The sequence below is a fragment of the Homo sapiens genome, chromosome 2 (genome assembly GCF_000001405.40).
Source record: "Homo sapiens chromosome 2, GRCh38.p14 Primary Assembly".
NCBI lineage: Eukaryota > Metazoa > Chordata > Mammalia > Primates > Hominidae > Homo > Homo sapiens.
Window position 1 is genome coordinate 143,718,252 of NC_000002.12, and position 20,837 is coordinate 143,739,088.

Sequence of the window (20,837 nt, forward strand, 5' to 3'; positions counted from 1 at the left end):
TCAACCCACACTTGACTTTGAAGCAGTACATAACTAGAACCCTAGGCTTCACTTGAATGAGAGTCCCTAGGGGGCAAAGAAAGGAGGTTAGGGGCTGTCTTGGTCAGGCCATTGGGAAAAATCTTTTTTGGAAGTAGCTACAAAACAGTAGAGCTCAAATTTAAGGTTAGCATTTTTGAGCCTATTATGTTTCTGCCTCAATGACATTTTTTGGTCTATAATTTTTCCCCAGCTCCATTCATTAATATGTAAAAAGAAAGTTTAAAAATACATGCCAAACTCACAAGTTTTACACTACATTATTGCCCTTGGTATAGAGGTTCCTGTATCTTATTTCTGGTCATTTCTTCTCCTCTTCTATATCCTACCCATATTCTTTTTAACTAAACTGTTTCCTCATACATTTTTCCACTGTTCTCTACCTTTCCTCCCAATATTCATCATCCTCTGCAGATTCTTTCTCTTGTCTGTACTCTGAAAACTCACTTCACATTCAAAACATTGTTGCCTACATCATCTGTCCACACATTTATTCATGAAACAAATACAGGTTGAGTACTTACTGTGTGGTAGATGCTGAGCTGGAAATGAAGACACTTTTACCAGGAAAGCAATAAAGCTCTAGGATCTGGAAGCTTCCCTTCCCATGTCTGGGAGTGTTCACATCCCTCAATCTCATTCTTAATCCCCATTTTCTGGCTCTATATCCTTCCACTTCTAACAGGAATTTGTAAACCAGCCTATTTTTAACAGGCATTAAGTCAGTCCTTCCATTGGACTAAGTAAACCCCTTCTCTTCTTTCTCATTTCAAAGAGACAACAAGTAGAACACGTTGGGACAGAACCGCTGTAAGGGGTGGGCAAGACATAGGTTGGTTCTCTGGCACTGAAAACACCTCTTTTCCTGCTCTCCATGAACTGATGGTCAATAGACGCCTCTTCATAGTCTTCCCTATATCAATTTTGTACATTCATTTCTTTACTTCATTTATTGATTTTCATTTACCTCCCATAGAGTTTGTGATACGAAAAGATAAAGAAATCACTCCAAATGAACTTTTGTCTAATTAATCTGTGTATATGTTGTTGGGCATTAAAACAGATTAAATTTGCTTACATAGTGAAAAGGCATGTAAAGTGATATGTTATCTAAATCAGAATTTTTTTCCATCTGGACACTTCATAGCAATCATTTCACATCTCAGAAAGATTCCATTCTCAAACACATCTCTTCTTTGATAACAGCACAACTCTGCCCTTGCAACTCTGCCCTCTTGGCTTCCTGCTCACCCATCTTTTCCACTTTTCTTTCATTTCCAACTGCCATTCCAGAGCCACGTACTTCCCCTGGTGCTAACTTTTAAGTCAACAGAAGGGAATTCCATTCTCTCTCCTGGTGCCACATTTCCTATTTAGGGCCAGATATTCCCCACAGAGATATTGAGGCATTTTACTGCTAGTTTACATGTCCTACTATATTTTTCTAACTAGTGGGAAAAAAGAAATAAATGTACGCCCTGCCCTCTCTGACCTCATCTTCCTTTCATATCACATTTAAAATAACCAATTCCTGGAGTGGCAAGCTCTTAAAGCAATTCATACTTCCCTGGCAATCACAGAAATGTACCCTTCATCTTGGCAGAGGAAGGCCTATTTCTTCCACCTGTTGTCACATTCTTTTTATTCTCTGCATGGGTTTCCCACACATACACCCTATAATAAGTTAGATAAGGTTAGAAGCAGGTGGCTACATAGAGAATCAAAAGAAATGTTCATTGTCATGTACGAGAAATTTCTGATCCCAAAGCACTTTTTTTTCCAAGAAATGGTAATATATAGAAAATTGGCCTGCAGTTAGTTGTATGTAGGATTGTGGATACTGGGGAGAGTGGGGGCGGGGAAGATGATGACCAGAGAGAGCGTTTTGTTCGTCATGAATGCAGCTACCTGAAAAACACTAGCTAATTAGCAGTCTGTAGCCACACAACACAGCAGTTTAGTATAAGAAGTGAACAATACTTTACCTAATTGAAACTACAGAGCAGACTTAGGTAGGCTGAATGTAATTACACAGATTGGAAGTCAGCCAGGACGCCGAGGTTAACAATCCCTTCACTCACAAAAAGCACCACGGGAACTTTAATGACCACAAGTGGTAAGGGCCGCTATCCTGCAGCCCAGCGAAAGGCCTCACCTCTCGCAACCGAGACTCCATCAGAAGAGCCTAATGGCGTCAACTAATTGCTAGAAAAAAAGACTGCCCTCTATCGACGCAGATGCACCTGTGCCGTGTGACTCATTCACCAAGCACAGTAAACACTTTTAAGTACTAGGGCGAAGGGGGATTCGAATGAATGAGGGCATCGAGGGGGTCAAGTGGTGGACAATAGGAACTGTGAAGTCTCCTCTGCCTGCCGGTCCTGTGGCCAGCACTTCTGCTGCACTAGCTTCCCTAAAAGAGGCACACGACTTCCCAAACTTCAGTGTGCTCACAAACCAAATTACCTAGCAATCTTGTTAAAAAATGCAGATTCTGGGTCGGGCACGGTGGCTCACGCCTGTAATCCCAGCACTTTTGGAGGCCGAGGCGGGCGGATCACAAGGTCAGGAGATCAAGACCATCCTGGCTAACACGGTGAAACCCCATCTCTACTAAACATACAAAAAATTAGCCAGGCGTGGTGGCGGGCGCCTGTAGTCCCAGCTACTCGGGAGGCTGAGGCAGAATGGTGTGAACCTGGGAGGTGGAGCTTGCAGTGAGCCGAGAGCCACTGCGCTCCAGCCTGGGCGACAGAGCAAGACTCCGTCTCAAAAAAAAAAAAAAAAAAATGCAGATTCTGATTCAAGAAGTCTGGGATGAGGCCTGAGATTCTGTACAGAGAACAAGCTCCCAGGTGCCACTGCTGCTGCTGGTCTGCAGACCACACTTTCAGAACAGGATCTAAAGACAAGAAACAGGAGGAGGAAAGAGGTTCTCTGTGGCCAAGAAATCAAAGTCTGGGCTAAAAGAAAGAGGACTTTAACATGGGGTTTGACACCCAGAATTATCAGGTTTGCATCATTTGTCCTAGGAACTAAATGAAGCAGAAACATGGAGTGTCCAAAATAATAATCCAATCCAAAACCCACTCTCAGAATGGCTTTTTCCATGGGGAGAAGAAAAGGTAAAGAACATGGTCTCTGAATGTGCTTTATAAATGAGGTGCCTACTCTGCAAAGTGTCCAGCTGTAGTGCTGTGGCAGGGGGATATCAGCAGTGGTCTGTCAGGACCTGCAAGAGCCAAAAGTGTCTGACTCTCAAGATGAATCAAGAGAAGACAAGATGGCAGAATGCAAATTGTCAAAGCTTAACCTATGAACAAGGATGGGAGTAATAATTTTCCTTCAAATGTTTGCAAAATAAAATCAAAGTTGCTGAAAAACGTGGACCTTTTTAAACTTTTTTTTTTTTTGGAAACGGAGTCTTGCTCTGTCGCCTAGGCTGGAGTGCAGTGGCGGGATCTTGGCTCACTGCAAGCTCCGCCTCCCGGGTTCAAGCAATTCTCCTGCCTCAGCCTCCTGAGTAGCTGGAACTACAGGCGCCCACCACTGCGCCCAGCTAATTTTTTGTATTTTAGTAGAGACAGGGTTTCACTGTATTGCGCAGGCTGTTCTCGAACTCCTGAACTCAGGCAATCCACCGGCCTCGGCCTCGGCCTCCCAAAGTGCTGGGATTACAGGCTTAAACTTATGTTATGCAAACATGGTTTACTGCTGTGCTACCTAGACTTCCATAATAAAGCCTCAGTATAGCATTAAAAACTTAATTGTTGGTTAGATTAATTTGTATTCTTTAGTTATTTCCTCAATGCTTTTTATACTAATTTCTATGTATTTTGTGACTTCTTAATGACAGAATTCACTTTAGATACTTGAAAAGAAACACACACACACACACACTCACACACACACACACGGCAAGACCCAATTAATCACTGGTTGGTGCAGTATGGTTTTCTACGTTTAGACATGCTGCAAACATGTTGTAAACTAGATAAGGCTGGAGTTTAAATATACATTTATCCTAATATATACCTCATCAGTATAGCTGTAAAAAATGCCGTTACTTGCCAACAATATATAAATTTAGGATATCCTTCAAAATTTATCATTTGAAGTGTTCAGCTACCTGAAGCTGGCAGGGCAAAGTACATATACAAGCAGAAGCACATAAGCACCAATGAATGAAGCATGCCTATGGAGTGCCTGCTCTGTGTTCCATACTATACGCAGGAAAGTGGAGAAGATAAAAGTGTGCAATCGGAAGTCTAAGGTTTTGCCTTTGCAGTGCTACTAATGTAACAGGAAGGGAACAAAACACTTAAGAAAAAACAGAACAGAGACTAATTAACTGTTAAACAGTATGTGCAGCCTGTAATTCAAATGAGAAATGGGCTGAAAGAGTTGAGAAGTCTCCAGTGAAAGGTGGAGCTGGTGAGATTTGGATGTTCCATGGAGTGGCTGGAGAAAAACCAAGAGGGAACCAGGATATAGGTGTGAGCAGCCTGTCCTGTGGCCAGAGGCAAAGGAGAAGGAGAGACCTGAGTGCAGGGTGGGGCCAGGTTATGGGTGGGGCTGGCAGAAACTTTTCTTGGAATCTGACATCTCAGGCTATAGGAAACCAAGGCAGGTTACTGAGCAGTTGAAAAATTTCTGCTTTTGTATTTAAGTACAGTCACACACCACATAATGACACATCCATCAATAATGGACCTTACATATGATGGTGGTCCCATGAGATTATGACACTGAATTTTTGCTGTATCTTTTCTATATTTCAATACACAAATACCACTGTGTTAAAACTGCCTGCAGTATTTAGTACAGTAACATGCTGTGCAGGTTTATAGCCTAGGAGCACTAGCCTAGGTATGTAGTAGGCTATACCATCTAGGCTTGTGTAAGTACACCCTATAATGTTCACATAACTGTGAAATTGCCTGATGATGCATTTATCAGAATGTATCCCCCTCGTTAAGTGACACACTGCCATCTCAAACAACCTATCCATTGGTCCTATGTGAAATGGACTTAGGGATGGAGGGGCTGAAGGAGGAGGCTGGGGCTGAAGGAGGATGCTGGAGCAAAGCCGGAAAGCCAACAGTTCTCTTAACGTGACTACGGAGCAATTGTTTTGGTGTTGGCTGTGGAGCTCATTGGGAAGAGAGGAATTCCTAGGGCAGCTTTGAAGTAGGTCAGGAGTATTCGCTGGTATTTTTGATATGAATCTCCACAAAGGACTGGAAAGAGTCCCAGACAGTGCCACAGGGTGCAATCTATAGATTAAAGAGAGTGGTGGTGCCACTGATAAAACCAGGTCATCTGTGTACTCTTACTGAGCACCTACTGTATGCCAGGCACTGTTCTAGGAGCTTATCACACATCGGTCAACTTAACAAAAACCATCCTTGCCCTCATGCAGGTTAAAAGGGGGAGTCAGTTACAGCCTTTTGCGTAGGAATGACATGAACTGACTTCCGTTTTAAAGGATCACTGTGTTGATAGTACATTCTAGGTGAACAAGAGTAGACACAGAGAAAAACTGTAAATTATCCAGTTGCCAATTTAATTAGAAAGCAGTATTTGTGGGTGGACAGTGCTGTGTGCATCTGCCTCTGATAGGTTAAGAGAATCTAAAGAACTGGGCTCCAGCCCCAGCTTCAGTATGAGGTTCCACAGTGACTTCAGGCACGTCACTTCACGTCTCAGCCACTGTTTTATCACCTTATCATAGAAATAATACCTAATTTATCCACCTTCATGTGTGTGTGTGTGTGTGTGTGTATGTGTGTGATCTAATGACATAAAGAAAGTAAAATCCAAGAGTACATACTGTTGCTTCAAGTTTGCCACAATTGGAAACCCAAGCAGAGAAATTCGATCTTACATTAAATCCAGTAGCTGGAGTGGAGAGGTCACTGGATTCAGAAGCAGAAAACCCAAGTTTGCATCCTAGGTTTATGACTCTAACCGTGTCACCTTGGATAACAGCTTCTCTGAGTGTCAGTTTCCTCTTCAGTTACAATACCTAATACCTCAAAGGACTTTTAGAAAATTCAGAGTTACATGTGAATGAAAGCCCACTATAAACTCTAAATCATCGAAGAGACAAAGTTGTTTCTTACCGCCCTGTCAGGCTCTGACTGCAACCATAGAGAGCTGTACTACTACCCCTGGTGTAAAATTGTAATTAATCCTTCCTCATATGTGGGTTAACTTTAATCCTTCAGGGCAGGAATCATTTTTTCCTGGACCTTGTAGTGTTCCATTGAACTGGTAGAGAGTCAAGCAATAGGAGGTATTTAACAAATCATTTTAGCAAGTGGGTAAGTGGAGGTGTGATATTAAAGGAGGAAATGTAGGTTTGGGAATTAGGTTTTTAGAGGAATATTTCAAACCATGAAAGTGCGTGCATTTACCAAGCATGTTCAGAGCCCCTGAAAAAAGGATGGAGTTAAACACAACTTTCGGACAAGCATAGTAAGAATAACTAGCCAGCAAAGGAAAAAAATGTAGAAAATAAAATTCACAACGATCAGCATTATAAGAGTCTGAAGAGCATCATCAAATAGTAATACACAACTTCTGCTCCAAAAGGATCAAAAAACATTTCAATTCGCTATTTCACAGAAATTTCAATCAGAAATGTCTAATAACCTCCACCCACTTATCTAATAACCACACTCTAGCACAGAGATAACTCAAGTTCCTCAGGAGAGCTTCAAGATTCAGAAGTTCTTTCTGAATTACCAAAGGATAACAATGTGGTGTCCATTGTAATTTTAATACTAATTTTGTTGTTCGATTATTGTTAATCCACATATGATAAGTGTTTTTGACCAGAGCATTTGCTTAATCAGAACCTTCTATACTCCATCTAAGTAAAAGAAGTTTTATTGGGAATGAAAGAAAATTGCACATAAAACCTTTTTTCATAGCCTGTTTCTTAAGGACACAGCAGTCAATCTTGTGACATACCTAGCCAATAATCTCCACTGCCTCTCCGAAGCCCACTTCTTTGTGTCTTTTTAACTGACATTTTGGAATTCACCTGAAAACACCAAGAATTTGCCAAGACAAATTTGGCCTGTGGAGAAGACACCATATTCAACACCAATCTGGAGAAAACAACGTACTCTGCTCTTTTAATTCATTATGATTTTAACATTTATTATCACATCATTATCACAATTTGAGGATTATAACTTGTTCTCAGAAAACTGGCCCCTAGGCAATAAAGAGTTAAGACCAGAAAGTTCACTCCCTGTGCCCTTCCTTTTTTCTTATCACAACCCCTCCTTCCCTGTGGTTCCACAAAATGAATAATGCCTTAGACATAGTTATGGCAATGCTAATATTTGAACAGTAAAAGATACCTTAAGACCTTCCTCAAGATTTTTTAAGGACTCATTTAATGTCAGTGTCAAGGTTCTGTGAGGAATAATTAATATAACAAAACAAGGTCTATGTGCCCATCGATTGCCAGGGAATTTATGCAGGTAACTCATTAATGCCGGTGGGGGTTCAGCATGTAAATCCCGAAGCCTCGATGAGGAAATGGGACCAAATGATTTTTCCCCCTATAAAAAACACAAACAATGACAAGTATAAAAGCAGATAACCTGAATATCTATACAAACAGCTATATGGCTTGTAAAAGTTTTCCATTTACATCCTGTCACCTCTTCTTTGTGCATGTATAAAAGATGGGACAATTATTTCAACAAACCTACCCATATAAATCAATGCAGTTTTGCTGTGGGAAGACTGGGTGTTTAAGGCATTTAATATTTCAGCATTGCCAGATTATCACCAGGATCCATTTCGCATTGTGGTCAAGTGCATGATTAGCACTGTGACAGGGTATTGGCCATTTTCATATGAAGATCTGCAAATCCTAGTAAACAAATACCAGTTGGAAAAATTAAGAACAAGTCTGTGGACTGGAATGCACCCTACTTGTAATGGGAACAAAAAGCTGGCAATCAATTTTAAAGAAAAAGCTAAATCACAGCAGAATGACCTACTTTAAGGCATTTGCCAAAGAGGCAGTGTTTTTAGACAGCTCTTCTAAAGTAGCGTCTTTCTGTCTATGCCATCTGCAGATTTATTACTCTGCCTGAAAAAAACAACCAAAAAAAAAAGAAAAAAAAAAGCTTTATTTGAATGATACTGAGAGCCTGGTCTATAGGAAAGATTCCAGTATTGTGGGTACCACACCCACACCTACTGATGTGGTCCAAGGTTTTGCTTTAGAGGCACCTAATTAAGAAACCCTGACTCATTTACATGGAGACGTTTGATCTAAATTACACTCCAAACCACACCAAATTGGGAGCATCTGTGAATGTGAAATGTTTGTTCCCTGTGACGGCTAGAACAGGGCCAGCTCTGGACGGCACATGTTCAAGTGACGAAAAATATTTCACATGTAACGTACTTCTGAGACCCACTTTTCCACTAATAATTCATAGTGAACCTAACCAAGTATCTGTACCTCCACAATTATTTCAGGCTGTGAAAAATTATGTCACTATTTTTTTCCTGCTGCAAGAAAGAAGTAGAAGACCACCTACTTTGTTTGCTGTCATTGATAAAGGGCCTTAACTGCAGCCAATAGCAAAAGGCAAACCTGGATAGCACAAAGGCTGGTCACTATATAGATATATAAATCTCAGCTTGGGATCCACAGACACAGAGCAGTGATCTAAAGGGCTAAGTCTCAGTTACCCCCTCCATCACTGCCCTAACCTCTTCCAGCCTTTCCACTCGGCTTGCTGGTTCTCAGCAAAGCTTTGCCTTCCAACTCCACTGAGGCTGTACTTGTATGCAAAAGAGCCAGCCCTTAGGATGAGGTGAGAATATTGATAGGGTAGAGGTAGCATCAACTGCAATTAGAGGACATGTCATTTCCACTGGGTAAAATGTCTAAGAAAGTAAAAAGAAAACATTTCTGCCATTGGATGTGATGAACAGTACTCAGCCTACAGTTCACACGAAAGAGTGTTGTATTTCAAGTATAATAAACAGAGTTTTATAGATACAGTCAATCCTGCACTTTGGTACCTGATGGCCGCTTTACCTTATTCGGCCATATATCACCTATATTTCAGTGGGAGTCCAAGGAAAAAGAAAGAAACTTTTAAAAAAATAACCTCAGGTTCTTTTGTTTAAGAAAGATATTAATGCATTTATCTGATGTACTGTTTTTTGCAGTAGCTAGAATGAGATTTGAATATATTAATATTTTCAGCAGCAGAGCCCAGGGACTCCAGTTAATAACTTATGGATGGCTACATAGATATACTTTAGACAGAGGTAAGGTTTTCAGCTCTCATGTTGGTAAGGCTCAGACAGATCGAATGAACGGGGCTGTTCTCCATGAGTCTTTGTTGTGGGCATGCATTGTAATGGTATGGAGACAGAGTTCTTCTGGTTGTCTACACAGCCTGGATTCAATAAACTGTTATATATGCATATTATGACAATGTGGTCAAGGAAACCAGATTTTTTTTACTCTACCTTCAAATGCCTATGGAGCCTAAATCTGGTGCTTATTTTTCTTGTCCTCATTCAATATGTTAACATATTCATAATTTGACACAGGTTACGTTTGTTTTATAATTAAAGTTATGGAGTTAGCTGGAAAAGCATTCAGACTATACTGAATTTTTTAAAAATGTGTATCTTTTTTCTATATTATACTGCAGTGTTCAATGTGAATCTGAAGTCTGGATAATCCCAGACTGTGTTAGTTTGCTAGGGCAGCCATAACACAATACGACACACCAGGCGGCTTAAAAAGCAGCCATTTATGTTCTCACACTTCTGGAGGCTGGAAGTCCAAGGTCAAGATATCAGCAGGTTTGTTTTATTCTGAGGTCTCTCCCCTTGGCTTGCACATGGCCACCTTCTTGCTGTTTTACCCTTCACGTGGTTTTACTTTTGTGCTTTTTTTCCCTGGTGTCTCTCTGCGAGTCTAAATTTCCTCTTTCTATAAGGACATCAGTCAAATTGGATTAAAATCCACCCTAATGGCCTTATTTTTAACTTAATGACCTTTTTAAAGGCCCAGTCTCCAAATGCAGTCACATTCTGAGCTAACGGTAGCTGGTGCCTTATCATATAAATTGGGGTGGGGTTAGGTGGGATAACTCAGCCCATATCACACACAAAGGGTATATTCACATCCAAGCTGTTGACATGCCCCGTACCAATGATGTATTTATTTGAGCCCCAAACTAAAACCTAAATTAATATTTGTAAGTCTGGAGTATTCTTCTAGTATGATTTTTCAGTCACATCCTCTATGGGAATGAAACAATGATGACTTTGTAAGGTTTAGGGGAACAAGCAGCAGCATGACTCTTCTCATACCTTCTTGCTAGACTGGAAGGAAGCAGTTCCTGTGTACAGTAAGTGTTACCACAGTGCCCGACCGAGCCCCACCCCGCCTTCAGGGACCCCGGTCTAGAGGCATAAGTGCCTCCCTCTCCATTACTGCCGCCCTCCATTAGGAGCAGATAATGCGTGAGCTACCACTCTCACAATAAAACATTGCACTTACACCACACCTTTCAACTCAGCATTTCCAAATGCTTGAAAAATCATTATTATTTTTATTATTTATTTGTGGAATCCCAGCAGTCTACTCAGCACTGGGAAGTGCAGTGAAAGCCACAGAGCTATGGTCTCAGTTACGCAGACTTAAACCGACACTCAAGTTTCCTCCGCGATGTACCAGTAAAAAGTCTGAAGGTGGACGTTTTTGCATGTGCATGCATAGCAAGAAAAAAAGTGAAAAGGCAATTTAGGTCTGAGTTACCCCTGCGGCTCACATACCTGAGAAAAGAGCCATTTGTTAGTATTGTTCTGATAAATGAAGGACCCAAGCAAGAACAAAGCAAGAAAGCAAACACAGTTTTAGACCCTACAGCTCAGAAAATGGAAATGCATTTCCCTAATCAAGGGCATCTACAATAACACTTTTAAAAGGATTATTAAGCAATGCAGGAAGTAGAAATCAATCAGGCTCTGCTTGTTGTTCACTGGTCATTATTTCCTGGGTCAAATCTGCTTGACATTCAATTTAATACAGTCTTTCATCAAGTCAAAAGGCCTTAGAGAGAAACTTTCACTGGCCACCCACATTTTCAGCAGGGCTGTTGCCTGGTCCGATTCACTTTTGTTTTCCAAGTCTTTACCATCATTGCATATTACGCCTACTTCTATTGAAACAGCTACTGCTTTTGATGATTTCCACAGTGGTGAACATATATTGTTCATCCCTGTAATGCTAGAAGCTGGTCCAGTGCTTGGCATGTAGTAGGTGCTCAATAAATATGAGATCTGTGAAAAACAAATTTTCACCTTACAAAGGCATTCTCAAAATGAATTTGACACATCCTGCTCTCTCTACAAAGTTACAAGCTAAGATAGATCACAGCAAAGCAGAGATATTGCAGACACAGATTGAAAACCAAGTGAAATAATGATTTAGATTGCCTTAAATCAAAGTGACTAAATGCATTTTTAGAAAGTACATGTTGAAAGTTATCTTGACTAGTCTTCCATTTAGCCAGGAAGTTTTCTGGAAGAAGTATAAGTTTAGGGATTTTTTGTGAGGTGAGAGGGAGAAATCATAAATAAGTATGTGTTCTAGAAAGTGGGGTAAGACCACAGAGGAGTCCTAAAGGTATTAATAGAGGTCAGGAATTGGACTTTAGAAAAACAGAAGAGGCAAGGAATTGAGAACAGAGGAAAATCAGATTACTTGGAGTGTTCTAATGAATGGCTTTCAAAGAAGATAAAGACCACCATATATAGAAAGCTACTTTGAAGATATAAAAGGGTTTGTTAGTAACATGACTGGGCATATACTAGAGTAGAAATTCCAAAATAAGAGCTGCCACAACGCAGCCAAAGTGAGAAGATATTTCTCTGGTCACCTGTGCTTGGTGCCAGCCACCATCCTCTACTGTTCTTCATTGTCCCTAGAGCTGGAGGCTTAGAAAGGCCTAGACACACACTGTAATCGTATGTCTCTTTCAGTTTGCTGGAGAGTGACTCACAAAAGGGTGTTTCCCGTGCTGACACAAAAGTATGCAATATTTCTTTGTCTTTCAAACTGGTAATTCATAAAGACTGTATACTATTCCGTATTGGACAATGTTGAGGCTTAAATATCCTAAGCCCCTTATAAGAAGGATGCTGCAAACATGAGAATAAGGGGTGTCTTCTGAAAATGAGTGAACTAAGCCACTTAGGAAGTTGCTGGCCTCATCTCGAAACCCACCAAATAACAGCAGTACAGCTAGAAATAGAGTTCAAAAGTCAAAAGTGCCTGGCTGCCCTAAAATTTTCTCATTGCATGACTTGGTTCAAGGGGCTTCATTATATTTTGTATTTAGATTTCACACGTTTATATTCCACAGTGCAGTGTCTCTTTAAAAATGTAACTGTTGAGTCTAAAAATCAGGAAGTAGTAAAGTGGCTTCCAGATACATATAGAAGGTTTTTGTTTGGGTGGTGTGTGGGAAGGGGTTGGTTTTGTTTTTAATTTTGTGCAATTTCAGTCCAGTCAACACCTAGAGCACTCCTTTAAAAAAAAAAAAAAAAAAAAAAAAAAGGGAAAAAGGCTTTTTTTTTTTTTTTTTGATTCAGTGTGCACAGAATTTATTGCAGACATCTGGGAGTTTAACCAGAGACATCCAAGAGGCCAGTAGAAGTGGAGCAGCAATAGAGAGTAATAGTTGACTTTTATCCTCATTTTTAAGAGGGAAATGGTCTATTGGTTTTAGAGGTGAAACGCTAGAAAGGAAACTGCTCAATCCTCTCATTTCAAAGATGAGCAAACTTGGGACTTTCCCAAGTCATCTAGCCACTTTGCATGTTCTATAACCCAAATTTACTTTAAATTGTGGAAAGAAAATGGAAATAAACTACCTTGAAGGCATTTGAGCTCCAACTGACTAATTATTCTAGGTCGTTAAATACAGTTAGAGTTGTTAGATTTTCTGGTTTCCAATGGGGGTAATTCCATCACAGAGATTCCTTTTCTATCAAATTGTTGGTGCTTCATTTTCTTAGCTCTGCCTGGTGGTCTCTATTACCTCCATATAAGAAGGCTTTTCTTTTCCACCAAATGAATGAATTTTCTCATCAATTCCAGTCATGCCTCATACATCTCCCTCTCTAGGACTTTCTCCACACTCGTCCCTCCAGTTCAGGTTCCTCTGTGCGCTCTCTGCCTATCCCAGATTCTACCACTTCTTCAGAGGACCTGGCTCAATATCCTGCTCTTTTAGATCTGCTATTCAGAGATCTGGTCCTAACTGCAGAGACTTTTCCATACTTTGAATTCATAGCCTTTCTTATGAATAGCTGTAAAGGTGAATTTGATGCTTGCATATAGCATAGTGAATTTAGGGCAAAGGCTATGCTTATTATTTTTTGATTCTTGCAGAATAGCACGAATAGACACAACTTATTGAATACTAACCATATGTCCCATATCTTGCTGAAAAATTTTAAATACATGTTCTCAATTCAACAACCATGTAAAGTCATTATTATCCTCAATTTATGGAAGCAAAATCTAGCATCCAGAGAGAAGGTGTTATTTTCCTAGATCAACCAACTAAAAGTGATGGGGTCAGTATTTAAAATGCAAGTATGTCTGAATCCAGAGCCCCTGTGGCCAGCTTCTATGCAAAATTGCCTTCCTTCTCAGAGTTACTTGCACATAAAAATCACTAAATATTTGTGAATTAGACAGATGAATGAATGAATGATTTGGAACCTGTTCCTTTCACCAATTTGACTTGCAAAAGGGAAAATAATAAGAAATTCTGAATCTTGTTGCCTCTGGACAGATGTGGTCAGTTAGCACAAGCAAAGCAGAAATGTTCTCACAAGTTAACAGTAAAAATCACTGGACACCTACATGGAGGTAAAATGACTCACAGGGAATGAAGCAAGCCTGGAATAAAATTTGGCCCAAATCCAACAAGCATTTGGAACCTCATAGCATGCATTTGGAATACTACCTTCATCCCTTATTTTTTCTTCACCTTTATTGTCTTAGTCATTTTAAGTATATTTTAACTTTTTTATATTGAATGCATTTTTAAAATGCAGTATATTCTTTGTGGAAGTATTAATCAGGTTAATATGAAATAAAATAAGATTGATGCTCATATTTACAAAGTAAGTTCAGAAACGTTTACTGACAGGGTAGAAGTAGGTAGCTCACAACCTCACATTTAATTTTAGCCAAGCATAGAACTATAACTGTGAAGCTGTATTTCAGGGAAGATCTAAAATGTATGGATTTCCAGGAGGTGTTTAAATAATACAGGTTGTCAGTATTAAAATCAGAAGTGTTTAAAGGCCAATGGAAAACATATGAGATTTTCATAGAATTAAAAAAAAAAACTCACTAAACAGTACACATAGCTCCTGGTTTGAAAATGATTTTATCTTTAAATACCCCATAAGGTTTGCAAACTTTAAAAAACAGAGATGAGGGTTGACTAAAAGACATGGTTTTCTTGAAGTTTCTTGGTAAAGTAATATCAAGATAATAAGGAAACCCTCCTTCCCCATTTTTGTTTTTGGGTTTTTTTTTTTTTTTTTTTTGAGCACACCAGATGGCATTTCTCTCTGTTGCCATCACTGACACACAATTATGTTTTCTAATAGAGAGGGAGGCTGGGAGCCACTGATCTACCCCAGTCATGTCACATGAATATCTCCACTTTCATAAAGAAAGTCTTTGTCCAGGATTTCTCCAGTGGTGGTAAAGGAGCAGTAATGTTGAGGCAACTCTCAGTTCATGGGAACAAACTTAGGTCAATGGATGAGCCATGGTCAGGAGGTCAGTTGGGAGAAGAGAAAGAGTACTTATTATCAAATCGTCATTGTGCCCTCTGCTCCATCAGCGAGCATCATTGTCTAAGACAAGTTCTCAAGGACCTCTGAAGAATCTGAGTTGAGCCCTTTCTAGGAATGCTGAAAAGGATGGAGATCTGATTCATTTTAACGGCAGGCATGTGTGTGACCAAATAAATCAGATCCCTGAAGAGTCTTTTTCCAGATGCATATGTAGCATTTGTACTTCATCTGAGCCCATTTTGGAGAGTGAAGGCCCTTCAAAAGTAAAATAATCTGTGTGGATTGAGGATTTGGTACCCAAGAACCCAGACTTCAATTCCCAGTTACATCCATCAACTGTGCCTTCAGTTACTGATTTCATCTCTAAGCTAGAAAAATAAAAACTGTCCCAACTTCGTTTTTCAGAAAATACAGTAGCAAGTTTAACAAACTTATTTCCCAACTCGTGTTGTAAGACAAGCTACCATACATTTTCAGTCAGAAGCTATAATTTATTCAGAGATTAAAAGAATTCATTTGCATTTCTTCATTTGCTTAGTCTATGAGATTATGAGGAATTTTTCTCTGTTTCAGGACATTGACCCCTACCTAATAAGATAAAAAAGTGTGTGTTTTGGGGAGGACTTGGGGGAATATGTACAATACCTAAGATGGAATTTCTAGAGTCTTTAAAATCTTTAAGTCCATAATCTATAATATCTACAAAATTTTCTTAAAAAATTATTTAAGAAATTTCTTATCTACATTTTTTACTGAAAAACTACTTCTGCAAAAAATTTGTTTTAAGAAATTTCTCTTTTATCTAAATTTGTTTTATAAAAATCTTAACTATAACCCTGCCCCCATTCATGTTAATATTTGATCTTGATCTTTTTGTGAAGCATCCAGTCTAGTCTAGCAGGTGAGGGCCTTCCCTACCTTGGTTTAGATGTGCATGAATGCTAAGTTCTCCCTTCGAACAGTCACGGTCCTTTTCTCATCAGAGATAGCCAGGGGCAGCAGCAAAGGGTGAATGAGATCCATCATGAAATGTCCAGTGTCAATGTGCTCTCCCAATTTACTTACTGACCTTCAGCTTGCAGCCACACTCCTGACCCTCATGAGATGGAGCCTAAGGGGGAAATGGCACTGAGGACCAATTCCTGTGTCCTGTTGGTCTGTGGTCTCAATTAAGTGCTAATTAATTACCACTGGCATCTTTGGCATCGCTTGTCAAATTGCATTTAGGAGTATATTTTCACTGTTTAAACATCAGTAGTCCAAAACCCACGCTAAAAATCCCATGTTCTCATAAATCCCCCTTTGTTCCCTCGTAAAAAATTGTGTTTTAAAAATTCAACAAATACATCTATAGCCACTGCAGGTAGCTTTCAAATACAAGAAACAGGAATTGGTATTGTCGATTTTGATTAATTGTACTTCATTAATAAACATCCTGTTATTCTGTCTCCACCTGCAGTTGCTGATGTTGCCTGGAATCAATTAACTCATATAATTTGATTTATTTTACAAAGACATTTTGGGATGTGCTGCGCTGATGATAAAGGTCCTATTTTAGCAGTTCTTGATTGCAAGTTAGATTGTACCTGAATGGATTTCTGTTTCTACATGGATATGTATACATGAGTGTGTGATTTGCAAGTGAGTAGGAAGAAAATACTCCTTGAAGAAGTCTTGAATTAAAGAATTCATTTTAAACATGGTGGGGGGTATTCCTCCTGAATATTCTGACTTTATCTGAAGACTCCTAAGAAATACAGATCCTGAAATGTCGTGTCCTCTCTCTTAATCAAGACCTTTTATTTAGCAGATTAGCAAATATTCCTTCAAATTAAAAAACGAAATAGTAGTACTAAGCACCAAAGTTAAAACACCCACTAGAACTATGATTTTAGAGACAGATATTCGATTCAGCTTCATGTATAATTTACTTTGCTTTGTTTTAAACGTAATTTCTTTTTCTCTCCTAAATATTTATAAGCCATGGTTTCTGGATCAATCTATTTGATACCATTATTTACTATGTGAAAACCTATCTTAGGCTTCCATAGGTATCTAAGAAATGCTAAGTTTAGTGCAAGTGACAAAAGCCCAACTCAAACAGTTTAGACAAAAAAGAGAATTTGCTGGATCACATAACTGAAAATTCCACAATCAGACGTGACTTTGGGCGTGACTAGATTCAATTGCCAAAGGGTATTGCATAGAATTTGTTTCTTTCCATTTCTAAACTCTGCTTGCCTCTGGGTTAGCTTTGACTTAAAAATCTTTCTCCCTGGTAGCAAGATGGCAACACCAGAATTGTATCGTATCAGCTTAGCGTACTCAGGGGCAAGTAAGCTTCTCTCTCACTGTGTGAAAAGAAAATTCTCAAAAAATTATTCTTCTTGTCCTGGATTGAGCCCCTTATTATTTGTTCGTTCCTGATCCATTCTCTATGGCAGAGGACTGCATGGCTCTCATTAGTCAGGCTTGAGACACAGGCCCACTCAACCACACAGACTAGAAGTGAGGGAGAAGCAGTTTTCCCCAAAGATGGTCTTAGCAAGAAGAAGAAGAATGACTAGAAGTCAAAAAAAAATCCACTTATCCACAGTAGTAAAGTATAACTACAATATTTTTTGTCCAACAAAACTATCCTGTCTCTGCAACAATATTTCAATCAATAGACATAAATGAAGGCTAACTCACATTAAGGAGCGCTGGTGCCTATAATTAGAAAAGGTTGCCTATCCCTCATTCTCATTTGCTACTACTAAATTGACAAGGCTTATGAAGAATATCAAAGTACTATCCATCCATCTGTGCATTTCTTCATCCATGTAACACTCATGAGCACATGTGATGAGACAGGCACTAAACTGGGCACTGGGACTACAAGAATAAGTAAGCCAGGTCCTTAACCTATATGTGTCAGGCGCAGTGGCTCACGTCTGTAATCCTAGCACTTTGGGAGGCCGAGGTGGGTATCACCGGAGGTCAGGAGTGGATCACCTGAGGTCAGGAGTTCGAGACCAGCCTGACCAACATGGTGAAACCTTGTCTCTACTAAATACAAAAAATTAGCCGGGCATGGTGGTGCATGCTATAACCTCAGCTACTCAGGAGGCTGAGGCAGGAGATTCATTTGAACCCAGGAGGTGGAGGTTGCAGTGAGCCCAGATTGTACCACTGCACTCCAGCCTGGGCAACAAGAGCGAAACTCTGTCAAAAAAAAAAAAAAGCAAAAAAACAAACAACACACCTATATGTGGAGACAGTAGAGTACAGTGATAGGAGATAAGGCTTTGGAATTAAATAGAGTAGGGTTCCAATCCCAGCTCTTTTACTTACACAAAGTGTAGAGTGTATAGTTATAGACAAAGTGTAGAATGTAGACAAATTTCTCATTTCTTCTAAGCTTCAGTTTTCATATCTACAAATTATTATAAGAATTAAGTGGGTAATATATATTAGGTGTCCAGCATAGAGCCAAGCACATAAGTTTTCAAAAATTAACAGTTACTACTCTGTATATCAAATGAGATAATGCAAGCAAATTGCTTTACACAATGCCTGGCACACAGTAAGCCCTCAGGAAATGATAGCTGGAAGCTATTGTCATATGAAATAGAATGAAGGACTAGATCTAAAAGAAAGCAACATTTCAAAACCCAACCAACATCTATCATGATAAATTTGGAAAAGGCCTTGAGAGTTCACCCAGATCTATCCCTACCCTCAGAGAAAACACTTTAGTAATTTTAGACATAATAGAATATTTTTCTCTCCAAAGAAAGTGTTTGCAAAGCAACTCTCTTCCTTTTGTGCTCATATTTCATCAGTTTACATAATATTTAATTAAATTACATAATTACAATAATAAGTACAACTGGCATAAACTTGTTTGGGACTCTCTCCTGGGACTTTCCTCTAGTGGGAACAGATGAGCGCAGTTGAGAGTCATTAACTAGCCGGGAACATTGAATATGTTGTGGGCATTGGTCAATATGTTTTACGGAGGAGATAGAGAGCTGATTAAGTGGGAGTCAGCCAAGAGAGTTTCTACTGCATTGCAGCAGTCTCCTGCATTCTCTTCATTTACATGAATGCTCCTGGTTCTTAAAACTTTGTCTCACATTTGACCTATTTATGCATTTTCTAAACATCCTTCAGTAGCTGATATGCAGAAAGCTTTATTACTAGAATTGTAAACATGCCTTATAGAATTGTTTTGTTATTCTATAGTCATAACCATGTATTGGGCAGAGAAAGCAATGTAAACTGAAAATGTAGAACATGAGGATGAATGCTGGGCACTGCCCTTTGTACATTTCTTCTGCCAGTCATAAACAATAGGTTTTAAATTCATTCCTAAGAAGAAAATGATAGAAACATGTCTCGCACGTGAAAATGATACTATCAATTGAGTAGAACCAAAAAGATTCGAACATGCTTATTTAATGTCCTCTGGCTTTCTGACTGGCCAAATGCATGAACATAAGGAACCATTCTTCCCATCCCTAATGGTAATCTCATGAAAACTTTTGAAACCTATTTATTTTATTTATTTATTTATTTATTTATTTATTTATTTATTTATTTTTTGAGATGGAGTTTTCACTCTTGTTGCCCAGGCTGGAGTGCAATGGCACGATCTCGGCTCACTGCAAGCTCCGCCTCCTGGGTTCAAGTGATTCTCCTGCCTCAGCCTTCTGAGTAGCTGGAATTACAGGCATGCGCCACCACACCCGGCTAAATTTTTGTATTTTTAATAGAGCCGGGGTTTCACCATGCCGGTCAGGTTGGTCTCAAACTCCTGACCTCAGGTGATCTGCCCATCTCAGCCTCCCAAAGTTGAAACCTGTTCGTTTACTGCATTGCAATCCTCAGAATCAGAGCACCACAAACCTGAGAAGCATCGGCAGCATATATATATTTTTTAACTTGGGCTTTGGTGGGGGATTCATGATGCCATTTTCAGTTTTAAATAATATTCACTAGCAGATGAAATCTATTGAAGTTCTTATTTATAAGGTACTTCTGCTGAGACAAGCCTTAGAAACAGCTCAATCTGTGCCTCAGGAAGTTAAATTTTTTTTTATCAGAGTAGCAAATAAGCTATCATATAGAACTGGTCAAATCCAGAAGGAATATGCCTTTCACTAGTAGTCTGTGGAGTCATTTAGCGTTCTTACGAATAAAGGCACATTTCAATCCTCAACTGTGGATTTGAACATTTGGATTTTTCCCAAGTAATCACTGGCCATCCCAGCAGATACCAATATTGTATAGGTTGGTTGACTGGTTAAAGCAGACTTGAGCCAGATCAATTCCTTTGACTTGAACAACTTCCGGGCCTCTCTTCGAACATCATGGAGACTAACTGATCATCATTATTTATGTGAGATAGGTTCTCTGTAGTCACGATAATGTCAAGCATTTTTGGTGTTAATAACAATTTAAAGTTTAATAATTACTTTTGGTGAGAAAAAGATTTGTGAGCAAAAGCATCATTTTTACTTGTTTCTATTTCTTTTCTTAATCCATGAATTGACTGAGCTCTAAAATCCGCAAATCACATGCTTTGCTTTGTAAAGAACTTACATTCACCAGCAATTACACAGACTGATATGTCCTTAACGCCAGGTTAAATGTCCTTAACGCCAACAAAAGACACTCTGGTTGGTCCCATTCCTTGGTTCAAGCCTCCGCCCATGATTCAAACAGCCGTAACGAAAACAAGGTCAGGTGTCCTCAATTGGGAGAAAAAGGAATATTCTGGTGAATGATCATGGATCATTTTGAATGAAGATCACTGGAAAGAGAGGCTAGAACCAGGTTATCAAAGGAATAATGTGTCCTATTATGGAGCTGAGATTTTACCTTATGGACAATAGAACCAGCTGCTGGTTTTTAAGCAG

At 39.3% G+C, this 20,837-nt stretch overlaps 1 protein-coding gene and 1 long non-coding RNA gene across 12 annotated transcripts in view, besides 1 other annotated feature; one reads left to right on the forward strand and one right to left on the reverse strand.

Annotated features, from left to right (window-relative positions):
• ARHGAP15 (Rho GTPase activating protein 15) overlaps nt 1–20,837 on the forward strand; it is a 638,934-nt gene that overhangs the window by 588,833 nt on the left and 29,264 nt on the right. For 2 of the 8 annotated variants that reach the window (XR_007078554.1, XM_011511482.3), the window contains one exon: nt 16,394–16,480. The exons of the other annotated variants lie outside the window; for them this stretch is intronic. Coding sequence is in view for 1 of the 2 variants with exons in the window: in XM_011511482.3 (XP_011509784.1) it covers nt 16,394–16,400 (7 nt within the window). In the remaining variant the exon portion in view is untranslated. Of the gene's footprint in view, nt 1–16,393; nt 16,481–20,837 lie in introns of those variants that run through there. 8 annotated transcript variants of the gene reach the window in all.
• Nucleotides 1–20,837, reverse strand: part of ARHGAP15-AS1 (ARHGAP15 antisense RNA 1) — a 135,343-nt gene that overhangs the window by 77,496 nt on the left and 37,010 nt on the right. The window contains exon 1 of one of the 4 annotated variants that reach the window (XR_923394.3): nt 564–1,461. The exons of the other annotated variants lie outside the window; for them this stretch is intronic. This is a non-coding gene — a long non-coding RNA (ARHGAP15 antisense RNA 1). Of the gene's footprint in view, nt 1–563; nt 1,462–20,837 lie in introns of those variants that run through there. 4 annotated transcript variants of the gene reach the window in all.
• Nucleotides 10,663–11,283: an enhancer, noted in NCBI's record as "NANOG hESC enhancer chr2:144486483-144487103 (GRCh37/hg19 assembly coordinates)". NCBI's record gives its function as "activates a minimal SCP1, AML or CMV promoter by ChIP-STARR-seq in naive H9 embryonic stem cells {active_cell/tissue: H9 hESC(naive)}" and the evidence as "EXISTENCE:reporter gene assay evidence [ECO:0000049][PMID:30033119]".